Below are 18,533 nucleotides of genomic sequence, written 5' to 3' on the forward strand. Positions count from 1 at the left end.
TCAGTTGGAAGTGCAGAAATCACCTGTCTTCTGTGTCGATCATGCTGGGAGCTGCAGACCGGAACTGTTCCTATTTTGCCATCTTGGAATCCATCCAGGACATCTGGTAGAAGAAATTTGTAAGCAGCAAAGTGTTCAATTTATGACCTGAGTGCTCTTAAAAGTGTTCAGTTTTATGTGTTCACAAAAATATGGTTTGGAATTAGAACTTATGTTTAAAAGGGAGCAGAGCATGAAAGTTTGGAAGATTTGCAGCCTGATGATGTGATAGAAAAGAAAACCCATTTTCTGGGGAGAAATTCAAGCTGACTGCAGAAATTTGCAGAAGTAACAAGGAGCCAAATGTTAATTGACAAGATAATGGGGAAATTGTCTCCAGGGCATGTCAGAGTTCTTCACGACAGCCCCTCCCATCACAGGGTTGGAGGCCTAGGAGGGAAAAAATGGTTTTGTGGGCCAGGCCCAGAACTTTGCTGCTCTGTGCAGTCTTGGGACTTGGTGCCCTGTGTCCCAGCCATGGCTAAAAGGAGCCAATGTGCAGCTCAGGCTATTGCTTCAGAGTTCAATCCCCAAGCCTTGGCAGTTTCCATGTAGTGTTGGGTTGATATGCTAGTTGGCCATTTGTATTTCTTTTTGGAAAAAATGTCTATTCAAGTCTATCTTAGTCCATTCCTGCTGCTATAACAAAATACCTTAGGCTGGTAATTTATAAACAACAGAAATTTATTTCTTGCATTCTGGAGTGTGAGAAGTCCAAGATTTAGGCTACGACAGACTCAGTGACTGGTGAGGTCACTATATTCACTATATATAGCACCTTCTCTGTGTCCTCAAATGTTCAAAAGGGAAAACAAACTCCCTTAAGCCTCTTTTATAAAGGCCCTAGTCCCATTTCTGAGAGCTATGACTTCATGAACTAATCATCTCCAAAATGCCCCACCTCTTAATATTATCACATTGAATATTAGGCTCCAGCATATGAATATTGGGAGAACATTTGGACCATAGCAAAGTCAACTGACCATTTCTCATTTAGGTTGTTTTGTTATTGAGTTGTTGTTCTGTATATATTTTAGATATTAACCCCTTATCAGGTATTTGGTTTGCTGGGAGGTTTTTGATTCCTGATTCAGTTACTAGTTATAGGTTTATTAAGATTTTTTATTTTGTGACTTAGTCTTGGTAACTTGCATGTTACAAGGAATCTGTTCATTTCTCCTAGGTTATCCAACTTGTCAGTATATAATCATTCATAGTAGACTCTTAGAATCCTTTTTATTTCTGTAATATCTGTTGCAGTGTCTTCTCTTTTGTTCCTAAAAGAAGTTGAGTCTTCTTTTTTTTTCTTAAATATTCTAGCTAATGATTTGTCAATTTTGTTGAACTTTGAAACAACTACTAGTTTCATTGGATTTTTTCTATTCTCTAGCCTTTTTTTTTTTTTTTTTTTTTTGAGATGGAGTTTTGCTCTTATTGCCCAGGCTGTAGTGCAATGGCGTGATCTCCGCTCGCTGCAACCTCCACCTCCCAGTTCAAGTGACTCTCCTGCCTCAGCCTCCAGAGTAGCTGGGATTACAGGCATGAACCACCATGCCCGGCTAATTTTGTATTTTTTAGTAGAGACACGTTTCTCCATGTTGCTGAGGCTGGTCTCGAACTCCCGACTTCAGGTGATCCACCTGCCTCGGCCTCCCAAAGTGCTGGGATTACAGTCGTGAGCCACTGCTCCCGGCCTTCTGCTCTAGACTTTATTATTTCCTTCCTGTTGCTAACATTGGGTTGAGTTCTTCTTTTTCCAGTTTCTTGAGGTGTAAAGCTAAGTTGCTGATTTTAGATCTTTCTTCTTTTTTAAGGTAGGTAGTTAGATATATAAACTGTCCTCTTCATATTCATTTTGCTGCATCCCACAAGCTTTGGAATGTTGTGTTTCCATTTTTATTTGTCTCAAGACATTTTCTAATTTTCCTTGTGACTTATTCTTTGACTATGTATTAATCAGAGTTCTCAAGAGGGTCAGATCCAATAGGAAATATAGATATAGATACAGATATGGATGATATAGATATATATATAGATAATAGATATAGATATAAATATATACACATGCATCTAAAAGAGAATATATTTACATATATATGAAATATAATTTATTAAGGAGATTTGGCTCACATAATTACAAAGGCAAAGTCCCACAATAGGCCATCTATAAGCTGGAAAATGAGAGAAGCCTACAGCATGGCTCCCAAGGAAGCCAGTGACATGGCTCAGTCCCAGTCTGAAAGTCTCAAAACCAGGGAGGCTGACAGTGCAGCCACTAGTCTGAGGACCAAGGCCTGAGAGCTCCCAAAAGGCTGCTGATGCAAGTCCCAGGGTCCAAAGGCCAAAGAACCTAGAGTTTGATGTGCAAGGGCAAGAGGAAAAAAAGGCATACTGCTCTGGAAGAGAGAGAAAGTGCATAAAAAAGAAATCCAAGCAAGCTGAATGTTCCCATTCTTCTGCCTTTTTGTTCTAGTCACACTTGCAACCAATTGCATGATGCCTACCCACAGTGAGGATGGGTTTTTCTCTCTCAGTCCACTAACTCATCCATCATTCTCCTGTGGCAGCACCCTCACAGATATACACACACACAGTGCTTCATCAGGCATCTAAGCATCCCTCAATCAAATTGTCAATTAATATTAACCACACAGGTCAATTGGTTAAGAGAGTATATTTTTGTAATTTCCACATATTTATTACTTTTCCTTTTTCCTTCTGCTATGAATTTGTAATTTCATTTAATGTGGTCAGAAAAGATATTTGGTATGAGTTCAGTTTTCTTAAATTTTTAAAAACTTGTTTGTGGACTAGCATGTCATCTATCCTGGAATCGTCTTGGTATGTACTTGAGAAGAAAGTGTATTTTGCTATTATTGGGTGAAGTGTTCTGTATATGTCAGACAGGTCCAATTGGTCTATAATGTTGTTCAAGTTCTGTGTTTTCCAGTTGATCTTCTGTCTGGTTATTGTATCCATAATTGAAAGTGGAATATTGAAGTTTTCTGTTATTATGATGTTGCTATCTATGTTACCCCTCAATTCTGTCTATGTTAGCTTCATATATTTAGATGCTGTACTGTTAGTTACATATACATTTATAATTGCTATATCTTCTTGGTCAATTGGCCCTTTTATTATTATGTAATATCCTTGTCTGTTGTGCTATTATTTGAATTAAACTCTATTTTGTCTAAGTATGGCCATCCTTGTTCTCTTTTGGTTACCAAATGCATTGAATATCTTTTTCCATCCTTTCACTTTCAACCTTTGTGTGTGTTTAGATCTAACATAAGTCTCTTGCATATAGTATATATTTACATTTTTTTAATCCATTCAGCCAATTCTCTGTCTTTTGATTGGAAAATTAGCCTATTTGCATTTAAAGTAGTTACTGATAGGGAGGGGCTTACTATTGTCATTTTGTTCATTGTTTTATACATGTCTTGCAGGTATTTTTTTCCACTTTTCCTCTCTTTCTGCCTCCCTTTATGTTTCACTGATTCCTTTTTTTGGTAGGGACGTGCTTTGGTTCCTTTCTCATTTTTATTTGTGTAACTTCTGTAGGTCTTTTCTTTGTGGTTACTGTAGAATTACATGAAAACATCTTATAGTTATAATAATCTATTTTAAATTGACAACAACTTAACTTTAATCACATACAAAAACTCTACTTCTTTACACCTCCTTCTCACTTTGTTATCAATGTCACACTATATATTTTATATTGTTTATTCACATAATTTAATACAGTAATATTATGCTTTCAACTTTTAAATTCTATGCATCAATTAAAAGTGAATTACAGGCTGGGTGTGGTGTCTCCCACCTGTAGACCCAGCACTTTGACAGGCCAAAATGGGAGGATCGCTTGAGCCTAGGAGTTTGAGACCAGCAAGGCCTTATGTCTGCTAAAAATTTAAAAATATTATCTGAGTGTGGTGGTGCATGTCTGTAGTCCCAGCCACTCGGGAGGCTGAGGTGGGAGGATTGCTTTAGCCCAGGACTACAAGGCTGCAGTGAGCCATGATCAAACCACTGCACTCCAGCCTGGGCAACAGAGCAAGACTTCGTCTCAAAAAAAAAAAAAAGTAAAGGAAAAAAAGTGTTTTGCTTACCACCATTAGAGTATTAAAAGATTCTATGTTCACTCATATATTTACCTTTACCAAAGAAGTTTATATTTTGTATGCTTTTGTATTTCTATCCAATGCCTTTTCATTTCCACTTGGAGGACTCCCTTTAACATTTTTTGTAAGGTAGGTCTAGTGGTGATCAACTCCCTCACCTTTTACTTCTCTGGGGAACTCTTCGTTTGTCCTTCATTTTTGAAGTAGAGTTTTACTGGCTATACAGTTCTTGTTGACAGTTTTTTTTTTCTTTCAGCCCTTTTAATATATCATCCCATTCTCTTCTGGTCTGTAGAGTTTTTGCTGATAATTCCATTGATAACCATATGGCATCTCCCTTGTATGTGACAAGTTGCTTTGGTCCTGTTCCTTTCAAAATTCTCTCTTTGTCTTTGACTTTTGACAGTTTGATTGTAATGTGTCTCATTGTAGGTCTTTTGCAAATTATCCAACTTGGAGTTCTTTGAGCCTCTTGGATTTGTATGTCCATTTCCTTCTTTAAGTTTGAGAAGTTTTTGGTCATTATTTTTTTAACTGGCTCTCTGCCCCTTTATTTTTCTCTCCTCCGGGCACTTTCATAATGCATACATTGGTCTGCTTGATGGCATCCTGTAAGTCTCTTAGGCTGTCTTCACTCTTCACTCCTTTTCCCTTTTGCTCTTCTGACTCCATAATTTCAAATGACTAGTCTTCCGTTTCACTGATTCTTTCTTCTGCTTGATGTTATTGAAACTGCCTTTGCAAAAATTATAACTGAAGAAATTATGACAGCAAAAGACATCAGACTTAATCAACTCCATCTTGCTTCTAGCATTTAAACTGTCCTTGTTCATTCCTGGCAGTAGGATGAACTAATTTTGGGAAGGTATTCAGTTCATGGTTTGACTCTGAAACAAAGTTGATAATAGCCATTTCCCAAAAAGATCCCCTTCTTGCCTGGAACCAGTCTGCCTTTGCAGGATAAACAAATTAGCTATAACATCAGAAATTACAGTTGAGGGGTTATGCAGCCTCTGGCTCCAAGAGTCTGAACCTCTCCAAATTGCTCCTGGGGATAACATCACTATTGTAAAACCTAAAATCAGTGCTTGAGATATTTTGCGGACCCTGCACTGGATGAATCAGCTGACACCACCCAGACTGGTAATATGGCTCAACTAGTTCTGCCACCCCACCCACAAACAGAAGACAGCAAGAAAACATCATTTCAACCCTGTATGATTTCATCTCCAACCTGATGAATAGGCAGTCCCCACTTTCCAAGCCCCTACCTGCCAAATTATCTTTAAAAGTTCTGATCCCCGAATGCTCAGGGAGACTGATTTGAGTAATAATAAAACTCTGATCTCCCGCACAGCTGGCTCTGCCTGAATTACTCTTTCTCCATTGCAGTTCCCCTGTCTTGATAAATCAGCTCTGTCTAAGCAGGGCACGAGGTGAAACCACTGGGCAGTTACACAGTCTATTGGTGATTTCCAATAGTGAATTTTTCAATTGAGCTATTGTATTCCTTAGCTCCAGAGTTTCTGTATGGTTCCTTTTTTTTTTTTTTAGTTTCTATCTCCATTAATATTTTCATTTTCTTCATGAATTATTTCCTGCTTTCACTTAGTTGTCTATTTCTGTTGTCACTGGGCTTCATTAAGAGAGTTAATTTGGATTCTTTGTCAGGTAACTCATTTATCTATTTCTTTAGGGTTGGTTTCTGTAGATTTATTTTGCTCCTTTAATTTAGTCATCAGGTTTCTCTGTTTCTTCTTATGTCTTGTTATTTTTTATTTTTTTATTTATTTTTGCCAAGATTTGGGCGTTTGAAAAAACTGCCACTTCTCCCAGTTTTTATCAGCTGGCTTCATACGGAAGACCTTCATACCTGAATCAGCATGGCTATAGGTTCCAGCAGCCTCTCAAACTTTTTCTGGGAATGCATCTTGTTTGGGTTTATACATTGCAACATCCCAAGTAGAGGTTTGCCAGTTTCTTTTTCTGGAGCTGTTGCTCCCTCTGGTATCTGTCTGTGGTACTGCAGGTTCCCTGGTGCTGCATCATCTCTGACCTCTCCTTTATTCCCAGTGGCTCCCATGAATCCAAAGTATGCCAGTTGGGCGTCAAGTTAGAGAGAGAGGGAGAGCTTCAGGTAACCTCATAAAACTATTCCGTTCCAGTCTTCTCTTTCTCTGCTAACGGAGAAGCTGCAAGTTGAGTGCTTCCCAGCCAAACCAACCTGTTCGAGCTTGGGGAAGGGGTATCATGAGTATAATGCAACAGCTTTTCTTATTTGTTCAATGCCACTATTCTTGGTTTTGCACTTGTCTGTGCTACTACAATTTCTTAATGGTTTATGGAACTCCATAAAGGCTTTTAGACCATATATTGTTTTTCAGTTGCTATCTTTATGGAGAATCAAGGTTTGGAGCCATTCCACCATCTGGCTGGCATCACTCTGTTTATATAATTTTTTATTTTTATTATATTTTATTTTCTTGAGACAGGATCTTGCTCTGTCAGCCAGGCTAGAGTGCAGCCTCGAACTCCTGAGCTCAAGGGACCTCCTCCCTCAGGCTACTGAGTACTTGGACTATAGGTACACACCACATACCGGGCTAATTTCCTATTTTCTTGTGAAGATGGGGTTTCACTCTGTTGCCCAAATTGGTCTCAAATCTTGGGCTCAAGCAATCTTTCTGCCTTGGCCTCCCAAAGTGCTAGGATTAAAGGTGTGAGCCCACCATGCGCTGCCTGTTATATTTAGTAGAAAATATATCTAAAAATATACTTACGTACTATATTGAATCCACTACCCAGAGCTTAACTGAACTATTTTTGTGACTCATTCTGGTTTTTTTTATTTTTTGCTTTTTACTTATTACAATGAACTACAAGTATGGATATATTAATATTAATTAATATAAAATATACTGGAATCTTTTGTATTTTTTTTCCTTTTTTCTTCACCAAAAGCAGAAACTTAAATATACTGAAATCTTAAATGACCCTTGAATGTTTCTAGGACTGACCCTGGAACAAAATTTTTTATGTTGTTATTACATTGTTCTTTTCATGTTAAAATCATTTGTTTCTTTTTCATATAGTACATCAAAGAAGAATTGTTAATATAGCCCTTACCAGCCATATGCTAAGTGCCACAAGTGTTTCGGTCTCTCTCCATTCTTGTACCTCACTTGGTCTTTTTTTTCTTTTCGAGGTGTAGCCTCCATCTTTCACCCAGGCTGGAGTGTGGTGGCACGATCTCAGCTCACTGCAACCTCTGCCTCCCAGGTTCAAGTGATTCTCCTCCCTCAGCCTCCTGAGTACCTGGGACCACAGTTGTGTGCCACCATGCCCACAAAATTTTTGTATTTTTAGTAGAGATGGGGCTTCATTATGTTGGCCAGGCTGGTCTTGAACTCCTGACCTCAAGTAATTCACCCTCCTCGGCCTCCCAAAGCGCTAGGATTACAGACATGAACCACTGTGCCCGGACTACCTCACTCTGTCTTTTAAATTGGCTATGTAAGGGGAGCATCTTGTGCTTAAGTCTTTGTTTTCTGGCCTATTTATATAATGGACATTTCTGAGTTGTGTGTATATATTAAATTATTTGAGAGTATATATTTAATGTACTAAATAGATCTACGTGTTTTCATACATGTCACTATAAAAAGACCATTTGCATATATTTGTTCTATAAAATGCTTACTTTTCTTCATGAACCACCTAGATTTGCTTTTCTGATGTGTAGTGTATGTGAAAATATTTCTTTGTGAATTTTTTTTTATTGTGTGCCCCTACAGGTGGTATGCTTAATAACGCCATAGCCTCTATAAGGAACATATGTATTAGTCGGCTGGCAGGAATTGTTTTGGGATTTTTTGTTCGATATTTTCCAAGTGAAGACCAGTTAAATACAAAATCTATCTTATAGAAGTATAGTATTAGACTTTTTTTTCAAAATATTAAACTTTGGTAAGATCCATGAAATTTAATACTTAACTCTATTTTTCTAAAACTAGCCTCCAATGCCTACTCTGTATTTAAAACTGAGCACAGTGGTGATTGATACAGGTCAATGGCTTTGATTAAAGTCTCTGCTTCCTGATTTGGCAAATAAGGAATGTCAAAAAATATACTTAATTCAGAGTATCCCTCTCAATTATACTTTCCCTTTCTCTACTAAATTGCCTATTGAGGTTTGATAATTTCCCCCAAATTTTCCCTTAAACATTTTAGGGGGAGATAGGTTCCCATTTATTTCTGCATATTTTCTGACTGAAATTCACTCCTGCTATCCTTTGACAAAGGCAACACTCAAACTTAGCCATTTCCTGCCTTAAAGGAAAACATGCCATTACTTTTGTATTTCTGTAATTTCCATCCAAATTTAGCTGTAACATATTGACCAAAGAGATATTCAAATATTTTTTAAGAATTCATTGGATATGTTATATGAAACTGGAGATTTTATGGGTCTCTTTTCTTCTTCACTTAAAGTAATATTTTAACTATTTTACTGATACTAGTATCAGAGATGTGGCAGAAGATGAAACGTTACTAATTGGAAATTTTGTTACTTGGTAGTAAGTCTGCTAAAATGTATGGTGAGAAAGAAAATCAAAATTTTAGACATGTAATATAACATTTAAAGACATAATATCAAAGGGTCAAACATATATAATAGATAATGTCTGTCTGGGCGACAGAGCAACACTCAATCTCAAAAAAAAAATAAATAAATAAACAAAAACAAACAAAGAAACTCAATGTAACCTTTTTCTATTTTTATTTTTATTTTCATTTTGAGACCAGGTCTCACTCTGTCACCCAAACTGGAGTGCAGTGGCATGATCACGGCTCACTGCAGCCTCAACCACCTGGGCTCAAACAATCCTCTCACATCAACCTCCTGAGTAGCTAGGATCACAGTCACCTGCCACCACACCCAACTGCTTTTTTTCAGTTTTTTTTTTTTTTTTTTGAGACAGTCTTACTCTGTTGCCCAGGCTGGAGTGCAGTGGCATGATCTCAGCTCAATGCAACCTCCACCTCCCAGGTTCAAGCGATTCTCCTGCCTCAGCCTCCTCAGTAGCTGGGATTACAGGTGCACACCACCACACCCAGCTAATTTTTGTATTTTTGGTAGATATGGGGTCTCACCATGTTGGCCAGGCTAGTCTCAAACTCCTGACCTCAAGTGATCTGCCCGCCTCAGCCTCCCAAAGTGCTGGGATTACAGGCATGAGCCACTGTGCCTGGCCTTTTCTTTCTGATTTTTTTGTAAAGAGGAGGTCTTGCTATGTTGCCCAGGCTGATCTTGAACTCCTAGGTTCAAGTGATCTTCCTGCCTCAGCCTCCTAAAGTTCTGGGATTACAGGCATAACCCACTGGGCACAGCCAACGTAACCTTTTGAAATCTCAGTTTTAAAAGCAATTATTTTGAAATCAAAAAGTATTCTTTCAATAAGTACTTTCTAAGTTTATGAAAATATGTTTTTTATTTTCCTAAAATATATAATAAGAATATATCTGAAAATTGGAGTTTTTATATTTTGCTGAATATAACAAAGCTAAATGTTATGATTTTAAAAAGTAGAGACACAGGCCAGGCATGGTGGCTCATGCCTGTAATCCTCGCACTTCGGGAGGCTGAGGCAGGCAGATCACTTGACCTCAGGAGTTCAAGACCAGCCTGGGCAACATGGTAAAACCCCTGTCTCTACAAAAAAAATACAAAAAAATTAGTCAGGTGTGGTGGCACGCACCTGTAGTCACAGCTACTTGGGGACTGAGGCAGGAGAATAGCTTGAACTCGGGAGGTTGAGGCTGCAGTGAGCTGAGGTCACGCCACTTCACTCCAGCTTGGGTGACAAAGTGAGACCCTGTCGCAAAAAAAAGTAAAGTAAAATAGAGACACATTGATTTTTTAAAAAATACTTTTCCTACCTTGCCACTCACTCCATCACACAAATGTGCATATATTTTTTTAATTACACATTTATTTGTATACTATTTGGTTAATGGCTAAATCCCTGCCCCCGCCCCCTTGATAGACTACGTAAGGACAGGGACAGTGTCTAGTCGTTGCAGTTGTTTTTCATTATTTCTCCCTGGCACTTAACACAGTGCCTGACATGCAGGAGGCAAATACGTATTGCATGCCTGCAAGGATGAATGAACGGAAAGGGAAACCTTGTAATTTTGCCCTGTTATTCAAGGAGATTCTCCTCCTACTAAAATATATTGCTACTTCTTGTTAGACTGTTTAACTTGGCAGCATAATATACCTTAATTTCCTGTGGCTCTTTTCTTAGTTGTTATTCCAAAACAGAAGCTCCTAAATTTTCATGCAAAAAACCTCTATTATCATGTTAGAAAAGCAGGCTCATAGGGCCAGACTACCTGTTTTGAATACCATGTTACTTGCCTATAACCTCAGGAAAATTATTTTCTAGTCTCTCAGTCCTTCAGTGTTCTCGTCTTGCAATGAAGTCTATGACTGTATCTGTTTCTTAGCAGTATTGTCAGGATTCAAGGAGATAATCCACGTAAAGTGCCTTAGCACTCTCTCTGGCATATGGTGGTGCTCAGTTAACAAACAATGTTGTTATTTTATCTTACCTTCAAGTAATATAAATAATAACTTTTTATTTTTAATGTCTACTGTAGGGAATAATAAATCTACAAAAGGAGTATCTGTTCTCTCTCCTTCCAACAATACTCTTGCAATTTTGTTTCATTATTTCATAATTTTCATAAAGCAGGGAAAAAAGAAAAGCAGGTATGAGGAAAGAGACCACTCACTCGAGCCCTGCAGTATTATTCTGCTTCTGCCTATTCCTGTCGGCTGGCTCCAGGCTGGCTTCTACACAAAGAATATCAAGCTGGTCCCAGGAACTGGCAAGACATAAAAAATTAATTATTTATACAAGTAGAGTCACAACAGCAATAATAGATAACAATAATGTCACAAGTAAATACGATCAACAAATATTTAAATTTCAATTTTAAATTATTTTCACCTTTATCCTCTTCCGCCATTCTCTGCTGCTAAAATAAAATTGGCTAAGGTTCAGCTTTCTCTTGTTCCTTAGTTTCGAGTTACTGATAAAAGTTAGACAGGAAAAATAGAAGCTATTAGGAGAGTAAATAAATAATTTAGTTTACAAATGTAAGATCAGCTTGGCAACTGGATTTTTTTAAAGAAATAGTATTAAATCTCAGTCACTAGGAGGAAATCATTTATCATCTAATAAAAGTCCTCACATAATAAGGTTGTCATAAGAATTAAATGAATTGATAAATGGAAAGCTTTAAGAATGATACCTGACATATGATGAATGCCATATAACTATAAAAATATTATTTCTAGTTTCACCATTATCGTCATCATCTCTTAAAAGTCAGTGGGTTTGGCTTTTGTTTTTGTTTTTTCTGTTGGCAGTTCTTTTATGTTCAAATCCTCTTCTAAACTGTGAGATTCTTTCAACGTGGTTTTCTGCATGATTATTTTTTTTCTCCCTAGCATCCTCCAGCACACTGGATCATGTTCAGTACATTAAAAGTTATGATATAAAAATAATACCATTTTAAATTATTGATTTAGGATATAGAAATTGATCTTAAATTGAGGGGTTCTCTTGCCATAATGTTCCATATCAGAGGTAATGTTTCTACTATTATGTTGTTACTTCACAACTCCATAGAAAATATGTTATATGTTGGTATTTAATTCCCCCAAATTTTAAGGCAATTTCAGGCCTAGTTATTAAACACAAGGAAAGATAGTTACAAGAAATTTGCTTTATGTTATTAAAAATAATATGGTAGAAGGTAACTAGGGAAAAATCTTGTGACCCAGTAGTCATTCTAAAAAAAAACTTCAAAGGAACTCATTCTCTGACCTGGCAGGGGATGAGGAGTGAAGGAGAAAGAAACTTACTACTATCTGAATACCTACTGTGTGCCAGGTATTCTTCACATTCTCATATTTAATTTTCACAACCGTCCAGTAAGATAAGTATTTTGTTCTTCGTTTTACACGTAAGTAAGTAGAAGTTTAGAGAGTGTGAGTCATTTGTACAAGGTCACTAGCCTGGTTGCAGCAAAAATAGAATTCAAACCCAGTTTGCTAGATTCCAAACCTGCTGTCAGTTCTGCTATAACCCAGTGCCCCCTGAATAAGGAGAACAATGAGAAGAAGGGCAACACATCCTAGAGAACCATAAGAAAACTTAATATTTTATTTGGTCTTCTTGTAGTCAAAAACTACTGGTACACGATAAAGGCAACTAAGCAAAACTGGTTTTGTTAGAACTCCTGGTGTTATGAGGGCAACACTCAAAAGAGATATTTGAATAGAGGAACACTGAGAGGACAAGAGTGCAAAATCAGCCCAAAAATGTTTGCATGCTGATTTGTCACTATTGTACTCTTCCTCCACATATATTTGCTAGGAAGAACATGGAACTGATGAGTAACTTATGATAATTACTGAGTACTTTTTTTTTTCTAATAGTCTAGTACTAGATTTTGTTTATTTTAACAGGGCCATTTACATTATATATTAACTCAGTAATATTTTTCTTTATGCCCCATTTTTATCCCTAAATGTAGGCTGTGCTAGGTCCTCTGGCTCTAGAAACAGCAAGAGTCTCCGCACCCCACTTGGAACCATATGCGAAGGATGTGATGACAGTAGCATTTTTAGCCATCTCGATCACAGCTCCAAATGGAGCTCTACTTATGGGCATTCTGGGGCCTAAAATGCTTACACACCATTATGATCCAAGCAAAATAAAACTGCAATTGTCAACATTAGAACATCATTAAAAAGTTTACCTGTCATCATCTGCCTGCTTCTTTTAATGAATTATTTCACATGACTGAAGAATTTTAAAGTAGAAATATGTAGGAACTGCACAGAAAATCCAGGATTTAGTAAACATGTGATTTCAGTACAGGGCTTTTCTTGGACTTTTTACTCCAAAGTTAATTTAATAAAAATAATATTAAATGGAATGCTCTCTTGGTATTTACATACTGTAAGAACAAATTAAATCTGTAAATACCCTAGGAAAGTTTAAGTAATCCCTCAGGCTGAATTTGATATCATAATACAAACTGAGCTTAATATAAAATTAAACAAACTTAATGGCAGAAAGAAAAACTTTGAATATTGAACTTGGTAAGATAGCCTAAGTTTCCAAATAGGAGGAGTAGAACTCCCCATGATATCCAGTAATTCCGTTAAAAAGATCACTACAAAAAAAAAAGGAGTAAAACACATCAACTTTAAATGGGTTAACTGAATAGATTTTAAATTCTGGTTTTGGTGACTACCTGAATAAATAATATGTTAAGTAATAGAACCAAGTTAGTCTTTCCTTATTTCTGCCATGCCCTTAAAATGAAAGTCTGGTTTAGCAGTTTTTAGATGAAACACTATCTATATATTTATTTATAGAAATAAAATTAAATCACAAATGGAAGTAAACTATATTTTTTTCAATTAGTGTTTTAAAATCTAGGCATAAAAGGCAGCCTCCAAAAATGAAAGATTTGGAGACTACTGTCATGTGGCAGTTTCTTCTCCTTAGTAATATAGAATTATCTTTTAATTCTGGCTGATTAAATCTGCCATGTTAATGTAGAACCCATCACAAGCAAAGTGAGTTTTAATTAACTTCAAGACTCTTTATTTTAAAGTTATAAGAGTTATATAAGCACTTCTAAAATGGCCTTATTGAAAGGCATTTTAGAAATTGTTTAGACTTCTTTGGCAAAAGCTCAATGCAAGGACTGAATATTACTTTCATTCCTCTTTTTCCTCTTCTCCACAAGCAAGATATTAAAATGCCACAGAATATGAAATTCACACACAAATTTGCCAAGTGAAGCAATTAAAATTTAAGGCAATCAAAACTATGTGTTATTCCTATTAAGACTAAGGGCTTTTATAGAATATATCACCGAAACTGCCAAAAGTTCTAAAACCATCTGGGAAATAACTCTTAGAAAATACACTCTGGGAGAATAACTCTGGGAAAAGATAAAATAGCTACTGTTTTAGTGATATTTTCTCTTTATAGTTTTACAACAAAGTACAGACTCCATTTTCAAATATTGTAATTCTAGTACTCAAATTCTAAAAATTTAAACTGTGCCAGTGTTTTGACTACTATTTAAATCATGAGGATATCTCATTGTCACTTATAAAAAAATAAAAATATAGGCAGGCTGTTGTGGCTCATGCCTGTAATCCCAGCACTTTGGGAGGCCAATGCGGGCAGAACACGAGGTCAGGAGTTCGAGACCAACCTGACTAACATAGTGAAACCCCGTCTCTACTAAAAATACAAAAATTTGTCAGGTGTGGTGGCACGCACCTGTAATCCCAGCTACTCAGAAGGCTGAGGCAGGAGAATCGCTTGAACCCAGGAGGCAGAGGTTGCAGTGAGCTGAGATCGCACCACTGCACTCCAGCCTGGGAGACAGAGCAAGACTCTGTCTCAAAAGAAAATAATAATAAAATATATATATTTACAAGATAGTAATTTACATTCACAAGAGGATTAGATTTCAAAGTAGAAAGTTTATTTTAATAAAAGAGAGATAAGAAATGATTTTCAAAATGAGGAATTGTGTTTTTGATTAGGAGGAAAATTGTTCTACCTATTCTTTTTATTCTTTATTTATAGAACTTTCTCTAAGTGTCTGTGATATATGTTTATTATACTGAAATAGTCGCCGTTTTAAGGTAGTGTGGCAGATGTTGTTATTTATTTGAAATTTTAAGTTTTTTATTTATAAAATGTTTTTATAAAAATTTATTAATATAATTTAAAAATTACAACCAGTTAACCATGTGTATGATATTAGTGTTTATAGTATTTAAACAAATAAGGCTGGGCACAGTGGCTCACACCATCCCAGCACTTTGGGAGGCCAAGGCGGGTGGATCAGGAGGTCAGGAGAAGGAGACCATCCTGGCTAACATGGTGAAACCCTGTCTCTACTAAAAATACAAAAAACTAGCCAGACATGGTGGCAGGTGCCTGTAGTCCCGGCTACTCGGGAGGCTGAGGCAGGAGAATCACTTGAACCTGGGAGGCAGAGGTTGCAGTGAGCCAAGATCATGCCACTGCACTCCAGCCTGGGTGACAGAGCGAGACTCCATCTTAAAAAAATAAAATAAAATAAAATAAAATAAAATAAAATAAAATAAAATAAAATAAAATAAAATAAATACAAGATTGTTGTTTCTTATAAACTTTTTTTGTATCTTTGCCTATTTTTTTCACTGTTTAAGGAATTTTTATTAAAGCAAAATTTTATAATCCAAATTACCTTTCCTTGCTCAGTTATCAATTCTGTTACTTAAAACAGAAGTGACATTATTAGCTATTCCACACTAATGAATTACAAAATTAAAGGAATGCTTTAAATTTTTATACTTTGCTGAAAATTATTTATCACAGAGTCTGAAAAGCATTACAGTGTTTTTATATTTTATTATTTTGGGAGGATTTTTTCTTTTCAAATCAATAAGTAATCTAGGACTATCATTGCATTTGTTAGATCTGACATTTTCTTGGTATGTAAAGTTCAAAGTTTCCTTTTTAAATTTATTTTATAGTTTACAAATTTTTTCCATAGTATTTAAGGTTTTTGATATTGAGATATTTTTCTTCAGTGATGCTCAAGTTTCTTTCTGTGGTCCCTGATCAGTTTTAAACAATTGGAACACCAGTGGCACCATTAACTGCTTTCTGGGCAGCCTCTTTAGCTTGGTGCTCTTGTAGTACAGCTATACCTTTGTCAACCTTAGTATAGAGAGGCTCTGGAGATTCAAGCATATGAAGGAGTTCTAAATTACCAATCTCCAACAACATGCCAATGATTTTACCAGCACGACTAGGGCATGGCTTGAAGAAGAGGAAACAGCCATTCACTCGTTTCCTTTTGCTTTTGAGGAGGAGCAGATGCCATCATGGAAGTCAAAGGTTCTTGACCTTCTACATGAACAGCAGGCTGCTGCATGGTAACCTGGGGCTGTGCATGAAAATATCATTGAGGATTGTGAGCTTCCATAGCATATTTATACTGTGAAATGGTACAAACAGCAGGAGTATCTGTAGTAGCAGTAGCGGCAACTGCAGGATGTGCTCCTATTGTCTGTGTCGATGTGTTACAACAGCTGTGTTGACATGACTCGTGGAAGCTGTGAAGAAGCTGGTCTCTTACTACTAAATGTAGTGAGCTAGGAGTGGCTTGGGCATATTTTTCAATGGATGAGGTCTGGCACCCTGAGCAATTTAGGGAGGATTTGATCTTAGTTGAGCAGTTTGGCTAGGAGAATACTTTGCAGCATGGCTCTCAGTCTGTGGGATAACTGCCATGAAGTCAATTGAAGAAGGTGCTGGCTGATAGGGACTGATTCCCAGGTTGAGCATAGTTTTTACACTTGCCATTCTTTGCACATAGTGTACTGGTTAATGAGCTGAGCCTGGTGCTCTTCATTGCTTTTCTTCCCATGGAGTTAACACTATATACAATGGCTCAGTGCCCACAATTCTACCATTCATTTCTGAAAGTGCTTTAGTTGCTTCCTCTGGAGAGGAGAAACATACACAAATCAAACCCTTTGTTGTGACAACCATCCTTCATAACCTTTGCATTGGTGATTGTACCAAGTGGAGAAAGTTCTTTCCAGAGACATTCATCAATACCATCATGATTTTTTGCATAAATGTTAACACTTTGTTATCTGGTGATCCTATACTGCTTGATCTTTTCAAATTTGCACACAAGTTCCATCTGCCATTCTACTTCTTTCTGAGCTTGACCAACATCAATTTGTTTTCCATTGAGCTTCTTTCTGTTCATCTCATCTGCGCATCTTTATGCCTTTCAAAGCTGACAAATCCAAAACCTTTGGGTTTTCCACTTTCATTAACCACTACTATCACACTTAAGACAGATCCCAACTTGCCAAAGAGATCTTTAAGGCACCTACCATCCATGTCTTCTCCAAAAATCTTCCTGTAAACATTGGTGAACTCTTTAACTCTGAGTTCTGCTTCTCATTGTTTACAAGACTTAATCCAACAAAGACTTTGCTATCATTTAGAAGCATCCATTTCATTTTTGAATAGATCTTTCAGCTGCTTCTGTGTCTCAAAATGTACAGTGCCATCACCCTTGAAACCGTTTTCACCACAAAGCACCTAATGTGAAAGTGATGGAGACAGGAGGCAGCCAAGGGTCCCCTGGTAAAACCCCACCTTCAAGACTAAAACAGCCTGAAGGCTGATAAACTGGACTGCAGGTCCGGGTTGAAGCCGCCCTTTCCTCACTGATTCTGAATAATGCCCACCTGCGCACTGGGATTACGGGGTGGAGCCTCGGGAAGTTTGTGCAGTGTGCAGTGGAGAGGAGTCTGGCCTGTTCCCATGTAGTGACCTAGGATTTAATCTATGAGGCGGGAAACCCGCTAGCAGGACTCTTTCTCTCTTTGCTAAGAGTTATTTTTCCTTTTTCCTTTCCATCCAATAAACTCCGTTCCCCCTCACCCTTCAAGTGTTTGCGTGCCTTTTCCTGGTGGTATGACAAGAACCTGGTTTTTTCTGCAACAAAAAGATGTTACCAAAAGCAGATGTATCATGGAATGCTTTATAATCAATAGATTTGTCCAATTTTTTTATGAACATGTTGCCCACTCCATTTTTGCGGAGTGATGGATCACACCGAGACTACTTAGTGTGTATTGGCTAGTCTTTTATAACATCAAAATTCATGGGGTCTTAAGGACATTCCACATCCTGCGTTTCCCAAGGAGCGCCGGTGATCTGGTTCCTGTAGCCCGGGATAGAGAGGACCAGCCAGCAGGCCTGGTCACGTGGGGTGCGAGGACAGGGGATGGCTGGGACGCTGGGCTCACCTCTTCACCTGTCTGCCGGTAGGGCCACAGGCTGCGACCTTTCCGTGAAAGGAGAGTAAGGGCTGGGGCGGAAGCCTGGGCCAGGGCAGAGAGACAAAATCACCTGGAATCTAAAACTACTCCACGGCCGAGGAACTGCGGCCTGCAGCGGGCTGGGACGAGGGTGGCGGTGTAGGGTCCAGCGTCCAGGCCTCGGGATCCTGTTCCTTCTTGAAGCTGCTTCGGAGCTGCGAGTGGGCGGGTGGGTCGCTCTCGGCTGCCTCACGGGTAATCTTATACAAGAAGAAAAGGAAAATGTCTCTGGCAGTGAAGACAAGGATTTTTTTGTACAGTGTTTTGCAGGGGTGATGGGTGTTAAAATAGAAACCTTTTTTTTTTTAAGTTTTTTCATGGGTTTTTTTCAGGGGAATGGGTTTTCCAAGATAATA

At 37.7% G+C, this 18,533-nt stretch overlaps 1 long non-coding RNA gene and 1 pseudogene across 3 annotated transcripts in view; one reads left to right on the forward strand and one right to left on the reverse strand.

Moving 5' to 3' along the window:
• Nucleotides 1-13,009, forward strand: part of LOC101929373 (uncharacterized) — a 34,331-nt gene extending 21,322 nt beyond the window's left edge. The window contains exon 3 of one of the 3 annotated variants that reach the window (XR_001747436.2): nt 7,964-8,135. This is a non-coding gene — a long non-coding RNA (uncharacterized LOC101929373). Of the gene's footprint in view, nt 1-7,963; nt 8,136-12,779 lie in introns of those variants that run through there. The other 2 variants (XR_001747434.2, XR_001747433.2) reach the window with 2 other exon arrangements.
• Nucleotides 13,010-15,695: 2,686 nt separating this feature from the next.
• Nucleotides 15,696-17,409, reverse strand: PABPC1P8 (poly(A) binding protein cytoplasmic 1 pseudogene 8; annotated as a pseudogene).

The sequence above is a fragment of the Homo sapiens genome, chromosome 10 (assembly GCF_000001405.40).
Source record: "Homo sapiens chromosome 10, GRCh38.p14 Primary Assembly".
Lineage (NCBI taxonomy): Eukaryota > Metazoa > Chordata > Mammalia > Primates > Hominidae > Homo > Homo sapiens.